This window comes from Homo sapiens, chromosome 7, assembly GCF_000001405.40.
Source record: "Homo sapiens chromosome 7, GRCh38.p14 Primary Assembly".
NCBI classification, from domain to species: domain Eukaryota; kingdom Metazoa; phylum Chordata; class Mammalia; order Primates; family Hominidae; genus Homo; species Homo sapiens.
The window spans coordinates 107,379,128-107,397,133 of NC_000007.14; the positions used below are offsets into that span (position 1 = coordinate 107,379,128).

Below are 18,006 nucleotides of genomic sequence, written 5' to 3' on the forward strand. Positions count from 1 at the left end.
AAGAAAAGAATTTTCAACCCAGAATTTCATATCCAGCCAAACTAAGCTTCATAAGCGAAGGAGAAAGAAAATCCTTTACAGACAAGCAAATGCTGAGAGATTTTGTCACCACCAGGCCTGCCTTACAAGAGCTCTTGAAGGAAGCACTAAATATGGAAAGGAAAAACCAGTACCAGCTACTGCAAAAACATACCAAATTGTGAAGACCACGGACACTATGGAGAAACTGCATCAATTAACAGGTAAAATAACCAGCTAGTATCATGATGACAGGATCAAATTCACACAAAACAATATTAACTTTAAAAGTAAATGGGCTAAATGCCCCAATTAAAAGACACGGACTAGTAAATTGGATAAAGAGTCAAGACCCATTGGTGGGCTATACTCAGGAGACCCATCTCACGTGCAATGACACACACAGGCTCAAAATAAAGGGATGCAGGAATATTTACCAAGCAAATGGAAAGCAAAAAAAAAAAAAAAAAGCGGGGGTTGCAATCCTAGTTTTTGATAAAACAGACTTTAAACCAACAAAGATAAAAAAAGACAAAGAAGCGCATTACATAATGGTAAAGGGATTAATGCAACAAGACGAGCTAACTATCCCAAGTATATATGCACCCAGTACAGGAGCACCCAGATTCATAAAGCAAGTTCTTAGAGACCTACAAAGAGACTTAGACTCCCACACAATAATAGTGGGAGACTTTAATGCCCCACTGTCAATATGAGATCAACGAGACAGAAAATTTATAAGGATATCAGGACTTGAACCCTGCTCTGGACCAAGCGGACCTAATAGTCATCTACAGAACTCTACACCCCAAACCAACAGAATATGCATTCTTCTTAGCACTACATCGCATTTATTCTAAAATTGACCACATAATTGGAAGTAAAACACTGCTCAGCAAATGCAAAAGAACGGAAATCCTAACAGTCTCTCAGACCACAGCGCAATCAAATTAGAACTCAGGATTGAGAAATTCACTCAAATTTCTCACACAGACACAATGTACCAGAAACTCTGGGACACAGCTAAAGCAGTGTTTAGAGGGAAATTTCTCATAGGAGAAAGAGAGAAAGATCTAAAATCGACACCCTAACATCACAATTAAAAGAACTAGAGAAGCAAGAGCAAACAAATTCAACAGCTAGCAGAAGACAAGAAATAACTAACATCAGAGCAGAACTGAAGGAGATACAGACACGAAAAACCCTTAAAAAAAAATCAATGAATACAGGAGCTGGTTTTGTTGAAAAGATTAACAAAATAGACCACTAGCCAGACTAATAAAGAAGAAAAGAAAGAAGAATCAATTAGACACAATAAAAAATGATAAAGGGGAGATCACCACTGATCCCACAGAAATATAAACTACCATCAGAGAATACTATAAACACCTCTACACAAATAAACTAGAAAACCTAGAAGAAATGGATAAATTCCTGGACACATACACCCTCCCAAGACTAAACCAGGAAAAAGTCAAATCCCTGAATAGACCAATAACAAGTTCTGAAATTGAGGCAGTAATTAATAGCCTACCAACCAAAGCCCAGGACCAGACAAATTCACAGCCGAATTCTACGAGAGGTTCAAAGAGGAGCTGGTACCATTCCTTCCGAAACTATTCCAAACAATAGGAAAAGAGGGATTCCTCCCTAACTCATTTTATGAGGCCAGCATCATCCTGATACCAAAACCTGGCAGAGACACAACAACAAAAAAAAATTTCAGGCCAATATCCCTGATGAACATCGATGTGAAAATCCTCAATAAAATACTGGCAAACCAAAACCAGTAGCACATGAAAAAGCTTATCCACCCTGATCAAGTTGGCTTCCACATACGTAAATCAATAAATGTAATCCATCACATAAATAGAACCCATAAATTCCCACATAAATTGTGGGAATTAATCTTGCAGAAGAGGTTCTCTGTGTGAACATATTAATTAAATTCAAAAGGTTTATAAAAGGTTTTTGCTTCTTTAAAATTTCTGAGTCATTTTGACAAAATAAAATCGTTTATGTTAATCTGGAATTCTATTTCATAAAATCAAGTGCTTTAAAAATATTAAAAAGGCTTCCCAAAATCAAACTTCAGTTTCAGAATTGTCTTTCCTGACACCTGGCTTTTCAGATAGTGCAGAGGGTCCCTGAAATGTCTAGAAAAGAGAGGTAAACAGAATTATTTGACATGTTTAGCTACATGGGATTGCCAAAATGATGTTCAGTCTTCTTTAGGTTATATTTTTGTAAATATTGCTAACATATGTTCCAAATTGTATGGAATTTCTAAAATTGTAATGTCTAAGTATATGCTACTAATCATAATTAAGGTTAAGTTATTGGAAACCATAGAGATAACCAAACTTCGTCAATTGTGTTTGAACTGTACCCTGGACATTTTGCAATTCACAGACAATTGTTGTCTTGTTTTTATCCTTTTCAAAAGATGGTTTATAATCTACAGAACTTTGGCAGGTGCTCTCAAATACAGGCTTCTCATAACTTTGGAGATTGCGACATTGGAATAAAGGAAAATGTACAAGACTCACGAAGAGCTAAAATGTTCAAAAATATCAAGCAAAACAATAATTAACCAATTATCGACTGAACTCAGAAAGCTGAAGCAAACTTTTTGACTTTTGGTTGGAATATTGCTGACCTTTGTTTTGTTTTTCAGAGTCAAGGAAACTTATTTTATACATTTATGGCCTTTATTAATTGGGTAAGGTATACCCCCCGTGATCAAGACTGGAGCATGTTTGTTTCTGTCTAGTTCCTCTAAAATTTGGAAACTATCTGTGAGTATTCTTATGGCAATATAGTTGTTTGCATCAGTGCAACAAGAATCCATTTTTCTTTTGCAACATGACACAACTGAAAAAACTGGTAATTTACCAAGGCTTTGACTGGAAGGGTATGCTTCTCTTTAAGGGGTCAGTCGTGACGTGCAGAGTCCATAAAAGTCCAGTGGGGAAACTGGCCTCAAACCCTCAGCTACTCAGTCCCTGTACAGGGTTCCTGACCTGTGGTCAGTAAAGAATGTCCCTTTCTAACAGGTCCAGGAGCTCCAAGTTTATCTTGGGACCTTAAGAGGAGAGGCTCACCCAAATCACAGGTATTTGAGGATACAAACCCATGGTTGGGCTCGGCTTTAAAAGGTCTTATCTGAGATTCCTTGTGGAACAGAATTCCATCAAAGCCACTCCAAAAGGCCTATGTAGAAATAATTATTCTTGCTGCACTTTATGCAAATAACCAGGCCAAGTATAAAACTGAAGTCTGTTTTTCTTTTTTTCTTTCTTTTTTTGAGATGGAGTTTCACTCTTGTTACCTAGGCTGGAGTGCAATGGCACGATCTCAACTCACTGCAATCTCTGCCTCCTGGGTTCAAGCGATTCTCCTCTGCCTCAGCCTTCCCAGTAGCTGGGAATATAGGTGCCCACCACCACGCCCAGCTAATTTTTTGCATTTTTAGTAAAGACGGGGTTTCACCATGTTGGCCAGGCTTGTCTTGAACTCCTGACCTCAAGTGATCCACCCGCCTCAGCCTCCCAAAGTGCTGAGATTACAGGCATGAGCCACCGCACCCAGCCTAAAGTCTATTTTTCAAAGAACTCAGTCCTGTGGTGATTTTTTAACAAACATGAGGACTGGAGACAGAGAAGTTATGTTTCAAAACTCATCATATATTTGTCATTAAATTCTAAATTCACTAGTTGTTTTTAAGTTTTCGCCTACATTTTAGACTAACCTTACTTATTCCTGTAAATCAAACAGCAGTCTCCAGCTGCAACTCAGAAAGAACAAGAGGGATGGGTAATGTAAAAATCTGGATCAATTTTCTATTTCTGAGCTAAAATCCTGCAAATCCTGCCAGGTGATGGGAATAAATAGGATGCGCATCACTCAGAGGTTTCCTTTTGGGAAAGTAAGACCAAGGGAGCTAACCAAAGCCAAGCACCACGCACCCAAATCCTGGCAAGCATGACTATAGCTACCAGTTATCTGGGTGTGTCACAAGACATCATTTTCTCTCCCTTTTTGGAGGAGGACTCAATTACACAGTTTCACCTTAGCATTCAGCTTAATGATAAGGAGTCCATGCAACCCCTCCGAGACACATTTTTGTCCCAGGCTCAATTCCAAGCTTTGGGTCAAAGCCCTAGGAAAGAAAACTGGACCTGAGGGATCCAGAGGCAGATGACAACAGAGGTTAAAAGGCACAGCGCAGGTGAGCGTGGCTCATTCCTGACAAGCCAACCCCAACCTTCCTGTTTCATGGATAAAGGCCAGGTTAATATCCATGGCATAAATGAGGTCTAGGGAACTCCAAGATTACTGACAGTAGGTGCTAGAGAGACATAGGTAAGAGTGGATAATTCCTATTCTCTAGGCCCCCCTACCTCAAGGGTGCAAGCTGCTTTTGCGGTGCCTGCCAAGGTTGCTGGAACTTGGGGGTGCAAGGACAGAAGAGGGAAAGAGGACACTCTTCCCTCTCTCCCTCACGTACCCCAGGTATCTGGTAGGAAGAGAAGGGAACCAGGGCTGCCTGTTCCTCTCTTTCTAAATGGGCAGCCATTCATCTTCAGTCTGTACCCCTTTCTAATGCATTCTGAACCCCCGGGAAGCCATTAAAAGATGCCTTCTTTTTTCTTTCTTCTCATCTGTCCTCTCTTCACTGATAGGTAACTGTGCCTCTGTACTAGGGGACACTCCCTTCAGATGCATCCTCCAAACTGCAAAGAATTTCTCAAACTCACTGGCTTAGGGTTAAGCTCAGGGGAAGAGATCCCAGAAGCCCAACATACCACCAAAAGGATAAAGTTTTTTTTGCCAGTCAGGCTTTTGGCCTCCCTCTCCCTGTGCAAACTGGTAGAAGGCCTCGGAATTTCTGAGCTGTCCTTACCCCTCCCCTTGTTTCATTTTGATACATGTCTTCTAATAAGATGGTTTGTCTGTTCTTGCCTTCAAGCCATCAGACTCCAAATGGTCACACAACCAGAGCCTCTGACGATGGCTCCTTCTGCTGGGAACCCTTAGATTGGCCTCTAGGAAGCTCTGACTGCCATTTCCCCCAAAATAGCGCCCCCTGTCAGCAAGAGGCAGTTAAGATCAGTCTTCATCTTTACCCTTCCATCTAATGGCAGTTAGATGTACTTCTTTAGAGGGGGGAATGAAACAGCCAGGTGGGAGGGGGTCCCTGGAGAAACTCCAACCTGCCTGCCCACTGAGGTGGAGCCTCGGGAAGTTCACCGCCTTTGCAGCAGGGAGGAGCCTGGCCCTTCCTCTTCCTGTGTGGAACCTGGGATTTGAACTGCCGGGCAGGAAGCACTGTACCAGGGACTCTGGCTTTGCGAGAGGCCCTGTTTTCCCCCTTTTCCCCCAGTAAAACTGTGCTTCACTCACCCTTCAAACTGTCTGAAAGCCTAAATTTTTGTGGCCATGGGACGAACAAGGACCCCATCGTTAGCTGAACTAAGGAAAAGTCCTGCAACAATGTCATGACAAGGGGTTGGGAGGGCTGGTCTCATGGGATCAGTACCCTAAGAAGAAGAGATACCAGAAAGCTTGCTCACTCTGTCTGCCATGGCAGGACACAGCAAGAAGGCGGCTGTCTGTAAGCAAGAAGCAGAGCCCTCACCAGAAACTGAATCCTGCTGGATCTTTGTTTTAGACTTTCCAATCTCTAGAACTGTGAGGAAATAAACTGCTGTTTAAACCATCCAGTCTATGGTATTCTGTTATGGTAGTCAGAGCTAATATACGTCTTTATATGCTTAACAGATGAATTAAATTGTAGAAGACATAGTGAGTTGAACAATGTCCTTCCAAAAATCATGTCCAACCAAACCTCAGAATGTGACCTTATTTGAAGACAGCATCTTTGCACATGTAATTAGTTGAGATAAAGTCATACTGAATTATAGTGGGCCTTAAAGCCAATGACTGATGTCCTTTTAAAAGAAAAGCACAGAGACACACAGCGAAAAAGGCCATGTGACAACAGAGGCAGAGACTGGAATGATACAATTACAAAGCAAGGAATACCCAGGATTGAGATTGATGGGAACCACCAGAACCTCACAAGAGGCTAAGAATTCTTCAAGAGTTCAAGGTGTTCTGCCAACACCTTGATTTGACTCCCAGCTTCCAGAACTGTGAGAAAATACGTTTCTATTGTTTTAAGCCACCCCAGTTGTGGCAATTTTTTCTTCTTAAATTCTTTTTTACCCTTGTGTAAATTTTTAATGACAGCCCCAGGAAACCAATACATAAGGGTAACAGAAAACAATACATATGTTTGCAAACCAAGTGTCCATTGATGGATGAATGGATAAACAAAATATAGCATATATACACAATTAAATATTATTCAGCCTTTAAAAGGCAGGGAATTCTGATGTACATTACAACACGGATAAACCTTGAGGACATTTTGCTAAGTGAAATAAGCCAGTCAAAAAAAGACAAATAATGTATGATTCCACTTAACATGAGGTACCTGTAGTGGTCAGATTCATAAAGACACAAAGTAAAATGGAGGTTTCCAGAGGTTAGGAGAAGAGGGCAATGGGGAGTTATTTAATGAGTATAGAGTTATCAACAACAGTGCAGAAAGATTCCAATTTCTCAACATCCTTGCCAACGCTTGTTATTTTCTTTTTTTTTTTTTTTTTTGATGGACACCTTAATGGGTGGAGGTAATATCCCATTGTGGTTTTAATTTGCATTTCCCTTACGATTAATGACAGTAAGCATCTTTTCACATGATTGCTGGCCATCTGTATATCTTCTTTGGAGAAATATCTATTTAAGTCTTTTGCCCAGCTTTAAACCAGGTTTTGTGTGTGTGTGTGTGTGTGTGTGTGTGTGTGTGTGGTTGAGTTCTGTTAGGGTTGAGTCAGGATGGTGGGAAAAACTGTAAAATAAACCTTCTTGGAAGTCCAGAAGGTTTTTACAAAAGCCTCAGGATAGAGTTACAGTTGAAGGTAGTCTAATCCTCTTTGAGCTATAGCAAGGGTAATTAACATAGGAATATAGAGGAGTCTATCTAAATAGCTTCTTTAAAGACTAAACTTAGACCATCCGCAGGTATATGATTGCTCTCTACTGGGCGGGGGTGGGGGTGGTTGTCAAGGAGTCGGGGCCGGGGTTGCAACTGTTTATGGCACTCTCCTGAGAGTCTGTAAGCGGCCTGGACCCTCAGCTGGACTGACAAGCATAACATCTGTGTCAGTGGACGTTATTTATCTGTCGTTGGGTCAGGGTCTGCCAGACAGACCCCCGCAGCTGGTGCCCCGTGTGAGGAACGCTGCGGAGGAAGCACGACGGACCGCCGAAAAGAAGTGAAAAGCACCGCGCAGTCAGTGAGTAATCAGTAAGTCATTGGTGCCCACTCGGGATCTCCAAGTTTGGGGGGGATTGTTCAGGCTGAGGGTTCATGATGGGACAACAGTTATCAGCTCAACAGAAACAGTATATAAAAGTATTTAAACAGCTGCTTGAAGCTAGTGGAACCTCGGTTTCACAGGCACAATTAAGGGACCTGATGCAAACTGTTGTAACCCAAAGCCCAAGGTTCCTGGAAAAAGGCATGCTAGACATAAAGCTCTGGGAACAAGTAGGGAGAAATCTGAAACAACATTATGCACAAGGGCAACAGGTCCCAGCATCATCTTTAATGCTGTGGGCTTTAATTAAGGCAGCCCTGGCTTCGTTATACAACAGAGAGCCTAAAAAGGGGAAGGAGGAGGAAAGTCACCTGCCTTACCACCTCCTTTTCCCTCAGCCCCACTATCACCGGGCCAAAATAACAAAGAGGAAATGGAGGTTTTGCCTGAACCCCCTCCTCCAATAAATAGGTAAAAAGACAAGAGATAACGCTGCAGCTACAAGACCCTGTCTTAAGCAAGTGGCATTAGAAGGGGAGTTCTTAGCTTGCCCAGTAATGCAAGATTGACAAGGCAATCGAGTATTTCTTTTAACACTTATAAAAAGATAAAGCATTAGAGGCCAGAGCCCCATGGTCAAGCAGATGGTAAATTAAAAGAAAGGCTCTGCAGCGGGTAAGCTCACAAACCCAGAGCCAGCAAATGCTCCTGGGAACTCAGCCTGGACAGCAGAGGCAGCAACAGGAAGCCAGGCCAGGCACGCCAGAGCTGGCCTGCTGGGGAGGGGCAGGAGGTGCAAACGGGAAGGTCCACCCAGCCAGCAGCAGAAAAGCAGCAGCGCCTAAGCAAGTGCAAAGTGGCTGCCACCCTGGGGCCCACCTGCTCAGCTCTCCAGCTCCGCAGGAAGCCCAGGGCAAAATTTCGTGTGTTCCTTGTATACAAGCAACATCTCAGATTATAATTTGCTGCTAAAATTTAAGTAAAATTTAAGAATTTGATAGACCTATTTCTGATGATGGCCACTGTTCTCTCTCTTACCCCTAATGTGACTCTCTCCAAATCCAGTTTAAGTAAACAGTAACCTCTGAAGGGAAATTAACAAAGAGCCCATGAGTTAGTTAAGGAGCAGTTAAAAACCGGATGATAAACATGGAAAAGCAGCAGTCTGGTGGAGACCACATAACTCAATCACTCGATCTGGGTTTACTAGCACTCAGAGAGCTGAGATCGGGGCTCTGATACTGGCCTTGGAAACTTTTTCCACTCAGCCCATAAATATCGTGAGTGACTCAGCTTACTCTGTTTATTTATTGCAGAACCTTGAAACAGCCTTAATTAGGTACATTCTTGAGCCCACCCTGTGTGCTCTTTTTCTTCGACTTCAGCAATTGCTAGATCAACATACACAACCTATTTTTATCACACACATTCCAGCCCATGGCTCTCTGCCTGGCCCATTGGCTTATGGTAATAATCAAGCAGACCTTCAGGTTATGACATCACTGCTTGACCAAGCCACCCAATCACATCAATTTTTCCACCAAAATTGGAGAAACTTATCTAAACAATTTCAACTTACCCAGAAACTGGCTAAACAAATTATCCTACAATGCCCAGATTGCCAGCTCACAGGCAATCTCCACACGTGTTAACCCTAGAGAATTAGAACCTAATCAGTTATGGCAAACAGACGTTCCACACAACCCTGAATTTGGAAAACTTAGATATGTACGTATATCCATTGATACCAATTCTCACTTAATTAGTGCCCATGCTTTGCCTAGAGAATCAACCCGGTATGTCATTAAACATCTTTTAACTTTTGCGTTTATGGGGTGGCCCAAAAAATTAAAACTGATAATGGTCCAGCTTATGCCAGCTCACAATTTCAACAATTTGTCACTCATGGCACATCGAACATTCCACAGGCATCCCATATAACTCCCAAGAACATGCCATAGTAAAATGTGCCCACTCCACCCTTAAAAATATGCTCAGAAAACAGAAAAGGGAGAGTATGGGTAAAGACCCTGCAACACTATTGGCACAAGCCTTATTTACCCTTAAGTTTTTAAATTTAGATGACAAATTTCAATCAGCTGTAGAAAAGCACTTTTCTAAAACCTCTCAAGGTATAAAACCTGCAGTTTCATGGAAAGATGTGAACAGTAATGTACGGTGTGGTCCAAGTGAATTACTAATGCGGGGAAGAGGACATGCTTGTGTTCACACCCCCTTAGGTCCTCTTTGTGTTCCAGCATGGCGCATCAAACCACACCATGGCGTGCCTAGGACCCAACCTGGTACCAGAGATGAAGGAACTGACCCTACAGGACCCGCAGCCCTGAACAATGCGGCTTCCACAGACGACACAAGCCTCAAATGTCACCTGATGCTGAAGAGGATAACTCAGAAGGCTGAAACGAATTCTACTCCAGACACAGACACCATTTACTCCAAATAATTTGTTCCTAGCTATGCTTTCTGTTGTACATTGCAACTCACATAGGGTATTGATCCTTTATATGCTCTCACTTTGTCTGCAACCTGTACCTGCTACACTCTATTGGGCTCATATCTTAGATCCGCCTTTCTTTCGCCCTGTCACCTGGGCAGACACCCGCTTCCCAGCCTATAATAACGTGACTGCTTGGCTAGGAGGGATAGATTTACCCCCAGTGGGGTCCCTCAATAATGGCACACATTGGACTAAGGTGCCAGATAGCCTATAATAACGTGACTGCTTGGCTAGGAGGGATAGATTTACCCCCAGTGGGGTCCCTCAATAATGGCACATATTGGACTAAGGTGCCAGATAACACTACATATAACTCCACTATTCTCCCACTGTATGTAAATTATAAAGGTTTTAACCCTTACTGTGTATCTCTGCCCAAGCACAATTATGGCTAAATCATGGCAAAGAAAATGCCTTAACAGCTTTAGCTGCAGGTGGCCTCAAACCAGGTAATACAATCAATGCCGCTTTCCCAAACATTCCTTCCTGTGCTAAAGGACAAAGCTGGGAAAGTAACGGATTTCACTTTAGCTGGGAGGTCTGTCACAGGGGACAAGCCCGTGGCCTCCAGTGAGGCAACTATAACATCTTAGACTGGAGCCCCCACGGCCATTTGCAGGGCAGCCTTACTAATGTCCTCACCTGTCATGACTCAATCAGCATTTCATTGCCACGTCCCATTCCCCTATGATTTGGGCCGATGGGGGGATGGGATATCTCAGACCCCAAGTAAAGTCCATGCCACCCCCAAGACACTTTATGACACCTGGGACATCTTGGCACCTCCCTTAACACCTGGCATGCGACATATCATAATTCCAGTAATGACTATACTATAACCTTTATTCACAATCACACTCATCAGTGCCTAATTTGCACTATCCATCCATATGTTTTCCTTAAGGGAACCAATATTTCTATTTCACCCCAATACTCCACGTTTGTGACCCGGGTGCAAGAACAGGCTTGGTTCAACTCATGTATCACTAATTACAATATATTACAATATATCTGTTCGAAATATTACTAGTGCCATGGTATTAAGGAGACAATCTGAGGCATTCCTACCAGTCAATTTGACACGTGATTGGCAAGATTCCTCTGCCCTTGCCACCTTAGAATGTGCCTGTCAGACACCAAAGATTCAGAGTTACGCTTATGGCCTTTATAGTCTCAGCCATAATCATCCCGGCAACTGCTTGCCTTGCTGTGGCATCTATTACTGAATCAGTACAAACAGCTGCTTTTGTAGGTAATCTGGCCAAAAATGTGTCTAATGAACCTCTCTTACGGCAAGGTATAGATAAAAAAATTCTTGCACGTCTGCAAGCCCTCGAGGCTGCTTTGGAATATGTGGGGGAGCAACAAGATGCACTAACATTCTGATAGCAATTAAACTGAAACTAGTAGCATAAACATAATCTGTGTCACTTCTCTACCATGGAATCAATCAATCCACAGTTGGGATGAGGTGAAACAACACCTCTGGGGAACCTTTCATGACAATTTAACAGCAGATGTAAAGCAACTTAAAACTAAAATTTTAGAATCTGTTCACACTATAGATCTACATAGCCAACAAACAGCCATATGGAAGGGTATGCAAGATCATCTCCTGGTTAGACCCCCGCTCCTGGGGGTCACTCTTTGACTGGAAAAGAATGTTACTAATTATACTCATGATTGTCTTATCTAGGATGCAAAGCCAGAATAAGAGCAACGATCGCCACACCTGACAAATCTGTTCCTGCATATATCTGCGCTCTCCAATCAATAAGGCTTGATACAGAAAAGGGGGAGATGTAGGGTTTCAGTCAGGATGGTGGGAAAAATTGTCAAATAAACCTTCTTGGAAGGCCAGAAGGTTTTTGCAAAAGCCTCAGGATAAAGTTATGGCTGAAGGCACCCTAATCCTCTTTGAGCTATAGCAAGGTAATTAACATAGGAATGTAAAGGGGTCTATCTAAAAAGCTTGTTTACTCATGTGGTCCTAAGACTAACCTTTGACCATCCACGGATGCATGATTGCTCTCTACTTGGTGGGAGGAGGGGGGAGGGTCGGCAACGGTGATTACCTTCCCGTGATGTTTACTTGAAACTTTTGTCATTTAACGTGTGCTGAATAAATGCCCGGAAGGCCAGCGAGTACAGCCCCAGTTGCAACTGTTTATGGCACTCTCCTGGGAGTCTGTAAGCTGCCTGGACCCTCAGCAGACTGAAAAGCATAATATCTGTGTCAGTGTACATTATTTATCTGTCGTTGGGTCAGGGTCTGCGGGAGGGACCCCTGCAGAGTTCTAAGCATCCTTTGTGTATTTTAGATATTAACCTCTTATCAGATAAATGGTTTGCAAATATTTCAGCCTGTTCTATTGGTTGCCTTTTCACTCTATTGAATATTTCCTTTGCTGTGCAAACGTTTACAAGTTTGATGTAGTCCCATTTGTCTATTTTTGCTTTTGTTACCTGTGCTTTTGGTGTCATATCTAAGAAATCACTGCCAAATCCAATGTCATGACACTTCCCCCTATGTTTTCTTCTAAAAGTTGTATAGTTTCAAGTCTTACCTTTAGGTCTTTAATCCATTTTGAGTTAATATTTGTATATGGTGCAAGGTAAGGGAATAATTTCATTCCTTTGCATGTGGGAGGAATCTGCATTTTTTCAAGGCAGCATCCCAAGTGACATATACACACCAAAGTTTGAGAACCACTATTTACATCATCCCTGAAAGTCAAATTAATAAACCTTATTGGTCAGGTGCGTGTGGCTCAAGCCTGTAATCGTAGCACTTTGGGAGGCCAAGGAGGGCAGATCACAAGGTCAGGAGTTCGAGACCACCCTGGCCAACATGGTGAAACCCCGTCTCTACCAAAAAATACAAAAATTAGCTGGGCATGGTGGCGGCCACCTGTAGTCCCAGCTACTTGGGAGGCTGAGGCAGGAGAAATGCTTGAACCTGGGAGGTGGAGGTTGCAGTGAGCTGAGATTGCGCCACTGCACTCCAGCCTGGGCAGCACAGCGAGACTCAGTCCCCGCCCCTAAAAAACCATTATTTTCCTCAGCAATACCACGTTGATCACTTTCCTCCAGAGGTTTACCTGGTTCTCTAATGCCCAGGTGTTCCTTGCACAGAGTATAAAAGGGTATGATCCTTATTCCAAGGACAGAAAACCCAATTTACTAATGATGAAAATTATGGTCTTATAACAATAGTTTCTCTGCTGCAATCATCTAGTGAGCTCCTATTATGAACCAGGCATTATGTTAGGTGTTTTACATATATGATGTCTACTTTTCCCCAAAAAAATGTTCAACATAGTTGCTATCATTTCCTAAAGACAGGGAAACTGAAGTATAGAGAAGTTAAGAGACAAGGAATAGACGGCAGAGTAGGGCTTCAAGTCTGATTTTAAAGTTGATGTTTTTTCCAAATAACAATGCTTATTTGCAAGTAACCATTAATACCAATTAAAGAAAGGCCTATTTTTTAGAAAAATTGGTAAAATAAAGCTTAAAAGGAAGTAGAATGACCAATGAGTTTTCTGTTTCACTAAGAATATTAAAAAACAACTTACTATCTACTATCACTAATTCATGAGGGAAAGAATATTGAAATACCAAAAAAAAAAAAAAGGATAAAAATCAGAATTAGAGCTGTTTTTCAGTAGCATTAACACTGCTTTATGAAAAAGTCACTACCATGTCCTTTTTTTAATTGTAGAGGGGACTGATGAAACCTTGGCATGATTGCCACCAATCTGCAGGTCACTGTTTGGAAACCATTACTTATGTTATTTTTCTGTACAAATACACACGTTAGCTCAAACCTTCTAAAAGGCGCCTGCATACCACATGTATTCCTCAACTTTAAAGTCTCCATAAAAACTGTCCATGGAAAAAATTCTTATTTCTTAGTATTCCAGGTCACTGTGTTCTCTGGGGAGCTTGATGGTTTTAAGCAAGCAGAGAACAGTTAATCAACTTCTTGCCTCGCATACCAGACTCCCCATACTCTGCTACAAATTACAATTTTATTACAGTTTAGGTCAATAAAATCATAAATTGTCCCTAATGAAGTCCTCTTTCTCACTGCATAAGAAATATTGACAAATACAAAGTGAGTACTTCAATTCACTGCTCATCTTGGAACTGCCTGCTTTGTCTACCTATTTTTTCAATGTTCCAGGATCAGCTCTAGGAATTCTACTGTTTCCTTACATCCCCTACCAAACTCCCTCTTTACAAAACCACTCCCATTCTTGGTACTCTGTGCCCCTAGGTGGTCTGCATTCACTGCAATACCCCATCACGATCTGTAGAAAACAGTATACTCCAAGAAGACACTTTCTCCCCGTGATCAATAACACCTTATGAGTAAATATTGCTTCCAGCTATTAAAAAGGCCTTTAGACCTACTGATTTTATTTTGTCATCACAAGATAGGCATGATAAGTAGCATAATGCTAACTTTATAGTTAAGGAAACTAAGCTACCAAGGGGGTGGGCCCACAGCTGCTTGGTGGCAGGCCAGGCTCAGGTCTTGGGTCTTTCACTCCCATTCTGTACTCCCTCCAACAGGTCATCCTGTCAACCCATGACTTTACACGATCTCCAGATGTACCCATTTTGCAGCTGAGATATGTTCTCTGGCAATTGTAAAAGATCTCAAACAGACCAAAACCATTTTTAAAATACTACGCTAGAAAAAGATAAATTATACTGCAAAAGTTGCGCTATCTTCTAGCCAATGTCTTCTCTTTGGATAATCAATATTCTAAGAATAACTTTTCTATGAATTGTCACTGTAAGTTTCAACAAATCAATCTTCTATGAAATTTCCTAACCTCATAGATTATAATATAAAATTTGATAAAAGACCATGTAACAGGGTAGAAAAGATATTTATTATTATTTTTTTTTTTGAGATGGAGTCTTGCTCTGTTGCCCAGGCTGGAGTGCAGTGGCACAATCTCAGCTCACTGCAAGCTCCACCTCCCAGGTTCACGCCATTCTCCTGCCTCAGCCTCCCACGTAGCTGGGACTACAGGCACCCGCCACCACGCCCAGCTAATTTTTTTTGTATTTTTAGTAGAGACAGGGTTTCACTGTGTTAGCCAGCATGGTGTCGATCTCCTGACCTTGTGATCCGCCTGCCTCGGCCTCCCAAAATGCTGTGATTACAGGCGTGAGCCACCATGCCTGGCCAGAAAAGATATTTTTTAAGTGAAAAAGATACTTAAAAAAAAAAAAAAGACTTCCTCATCCTCAAAAGCATTTCAGAATATGGCACAATCGTTTTCTTTACAAAACCAAAATATTTCCCCTGCTTTAGAAATAATTATGATGTGATTTTTTTCTTTCTTTCTCAACCTCTCTGTAGCATTACATGGGAGGAAAATAAAATTCCACAAAAATAGAAAAGAAGCATAATTGTTTAAGATACCCAAGCTTGCCAAAACAGGAACACTGTAACCAAAGCAACTGCTGGCATAGCTAATGGAACAGAGATGTAGCAAGACTGCTATAAAGATTGTTTCATGAAATAGCAAGCAATATTTTAGTTTACAAAGCCATAGGCTAATATGAGATAACCTTTGTGAGCATAAATACAGCATTAAATCAAGTGTGACAGGATTTTTAAAACTTTATATAATTGAAATTAGAAATAAAAAGTGACAGAATTTGATGAGAAATAAAATGCAAAAAATGACATAAATATGCAAGTCCAGGGGCCCACAGTGGATAATACCATTAACATTGAAACTCTGAAAGGAAATCCTTGTATCATGAGGACTAACAATCACATTTTACTTTTTCCTCTAATAAAATATTCTTTAGAAGTTAAATTCTTTTTTAAGTGTTTCGTCTATAAAAGAAGGGCAACAAATTGAGGGAAGGAAAAGGACAAATACAGAATACAAATTTAGCTCATGTTGCTCTGCTGTTATAGTCATGAAATTCTGCAAAGTGACTCAGTTCACAAAACTCTGACTTATGATAAAGACTTAGTTGAGTCCAACTGATTTTAACTGGAAAACCACACAGAGATTTAAAAATTTTACTTCCAAAATAATTTATTAGCATGGATGTTTCAAAACTAAAATATTTCTTCAAAGTTTAATAAGTGCACCATTTCACACTCAAAATGAAAAATAAGAAACCCCAGAATCACATTAAAAAGACGGGGAAAGGGTGGGGTGGAAAGAAAAGTGGGGAGAAAGAGAGGGAGAATGAAGATAGGGAGGGAGAAGTAAAGGGTGGTGGGAAGTAGAAAGAAAGAAAGAAATGATCAACACATTCCCAACTCACTGTGTTTTCCCAAAGACAGAGGTTATAGTCAGAAAGATGCAAAGTCAACTCAAGCAAAAATTCAAAGTAGCTATCTTTCACTGTATAGACAATCCTAACTACTAAAAAGCGATACAGCTTTTTTAAATAGTGTGTAAAGGGTACAAATCAAATCGTCTTTACCATGAAGCAGATCTTTTTTTTTTTTTTTTTTTTTTTTTTTTTTGAGAAGGAATTTTACTCTTGTTGCCCAGGCTGGAGTACAGTGGCAAGACCTCGGCTTACTGCAACCTCCGCCTCCTAGGTTCAAGCAATTCTCCTGCCTCAGCCTCCCAAGTAGCTGGGATTACAGGCATGTGCCACCACGCCTGGCTAATCTTTGTATTTTTAGTAGAGATAGGGTTTTTCTATGTTGATCAGGCTGGTCTTGAACTCCCAACCTCAGGTGATCCACCCACCTTGGCCTCCCAAAGTGCTAGGATTACAGGCGTGAGCCACTGCGCCCAGACAAAGCAGATAATTCTTTAAACCACTCCCCCTGGGTAGAATATGTATTTAATAAAATTAGGCCGATTTTCAGGTAAACTTAAGACAATAAAAAGAACAGTACCTTAATCATGTACAATCATTGAGAAATTATAAAATCCTAATATTTATGAAGAACACTTAATAAATCCATAACACCATACATGTGACAACTATATAACAGGACAAAATATTTAAGGCAGCTTATAATATCTGTGTGCATATGCTCCATTATGTTACACACACGTAACACTTTTTCTGGAGATAACACATGTCTAGAAGACTGAAAACTTAATGGAGCTCCATGGGAGATTACAAGAATTAAAGGAAAAGAGAATCACATTAAATACCATAATTTAAAAGCAAGAATTATATTAGCTACCTTAGTTGTGATTCAGAGCTTAGCAGTAGCTTTGCTGATTCAGTAACATGCAACCCATTAATGCTTGATGTGTACTTCTCAGCTAACCTAATATAATTATTTCAGTACCTGTTAACAATCAACAGTCAACAGTACATAATACAAATAAAATTAAGATACTAAAAAGGAAATTTAATAGTACAATATGATCTCATACACCAGAAATCAACTTTATTCTAGCCTTTATTTTGAAGAGAGGCAGAAAAAGAAAAAGATTATATAGAAAGGCCAGGGGGGTGAGGAGTGGGGGGTGGGAAATGAGAGAAAAATGACAAGAGGTAGAATGAAGATGAACATGGATTAGAAGAGGAAAGTTCTACAGAAAGTGATACACCGAGTGCCTAAAAAAATGAGGAAGAGAGTATAAAAATGATCAATATGGAGAAGAAGAGCTATTTTAATTTCTCAATTTTTAACAAAATATCTGAAGAAGACATTCTAACAAGTCATAGTTTGGCATTAAAGTTTTTAAATAATGTCAATACACAGAATAACATATTCCAAGTCATATTAGATAATAGTAATTAATATTAAAAGGAAACTATTGAAAATGTTTATTCAACAATAAAATGAATTTTATAGGAAAATGGAATAATGACAAATTAATGTGGCAAGCCATAAAAACATAGCTTATTTTTAAATATAATAAAATGTAAAGTCATTCTGTGCTTTACCAAAGATATTTATGGCAAGCATTATGTATTAGCTATTGCCCAAAACTACTTTCTTCTTTTTTCTTGATAAAAACCTAATTTTCTCAGGCAATGGCTGATAAGTAGCCTGAGCCGATGTTGACAATTCTGTTCCTCTTTGCCAGACACTTGTTTTCACAGTCTTCTTGA

At 40.6% G+C, this 18,006-nt stretch overlaps 1 protein-coding gene across 10 annotated transcripts in view, besides 1 other annotated feature; it reads right to left on the bottom strand.

Annotated features, from left to right (window-relative positions):
- Positions 1–18,006, bottom strand: part of COG5 (component of oligomeric golgi complex 5) — a 362,549-nt gene that overhangs the window by 177,756 nt on the left and 166,787 nt on the right. The gene's annotated exons all lie outside the window — the stretch shown is intronic.
- Positions 11,731–12,253: an enhancer, noted in NCBI's record as "NANOG hESC enhancer chr7:107031303-107031825 (GRCh37/hg19 assembly coordinates)". NCBI's record gives its function as "activates a minimal SCP1, AML or CMV promoter by ChIP-STARR-seq in primed H9 embryonic stem cells {active_cell/tissue: H9 hESC(primed)}" and the evidence as "EXISTENCE:reporter gene assay evidence [ECO:0000049][PMID:30033119]".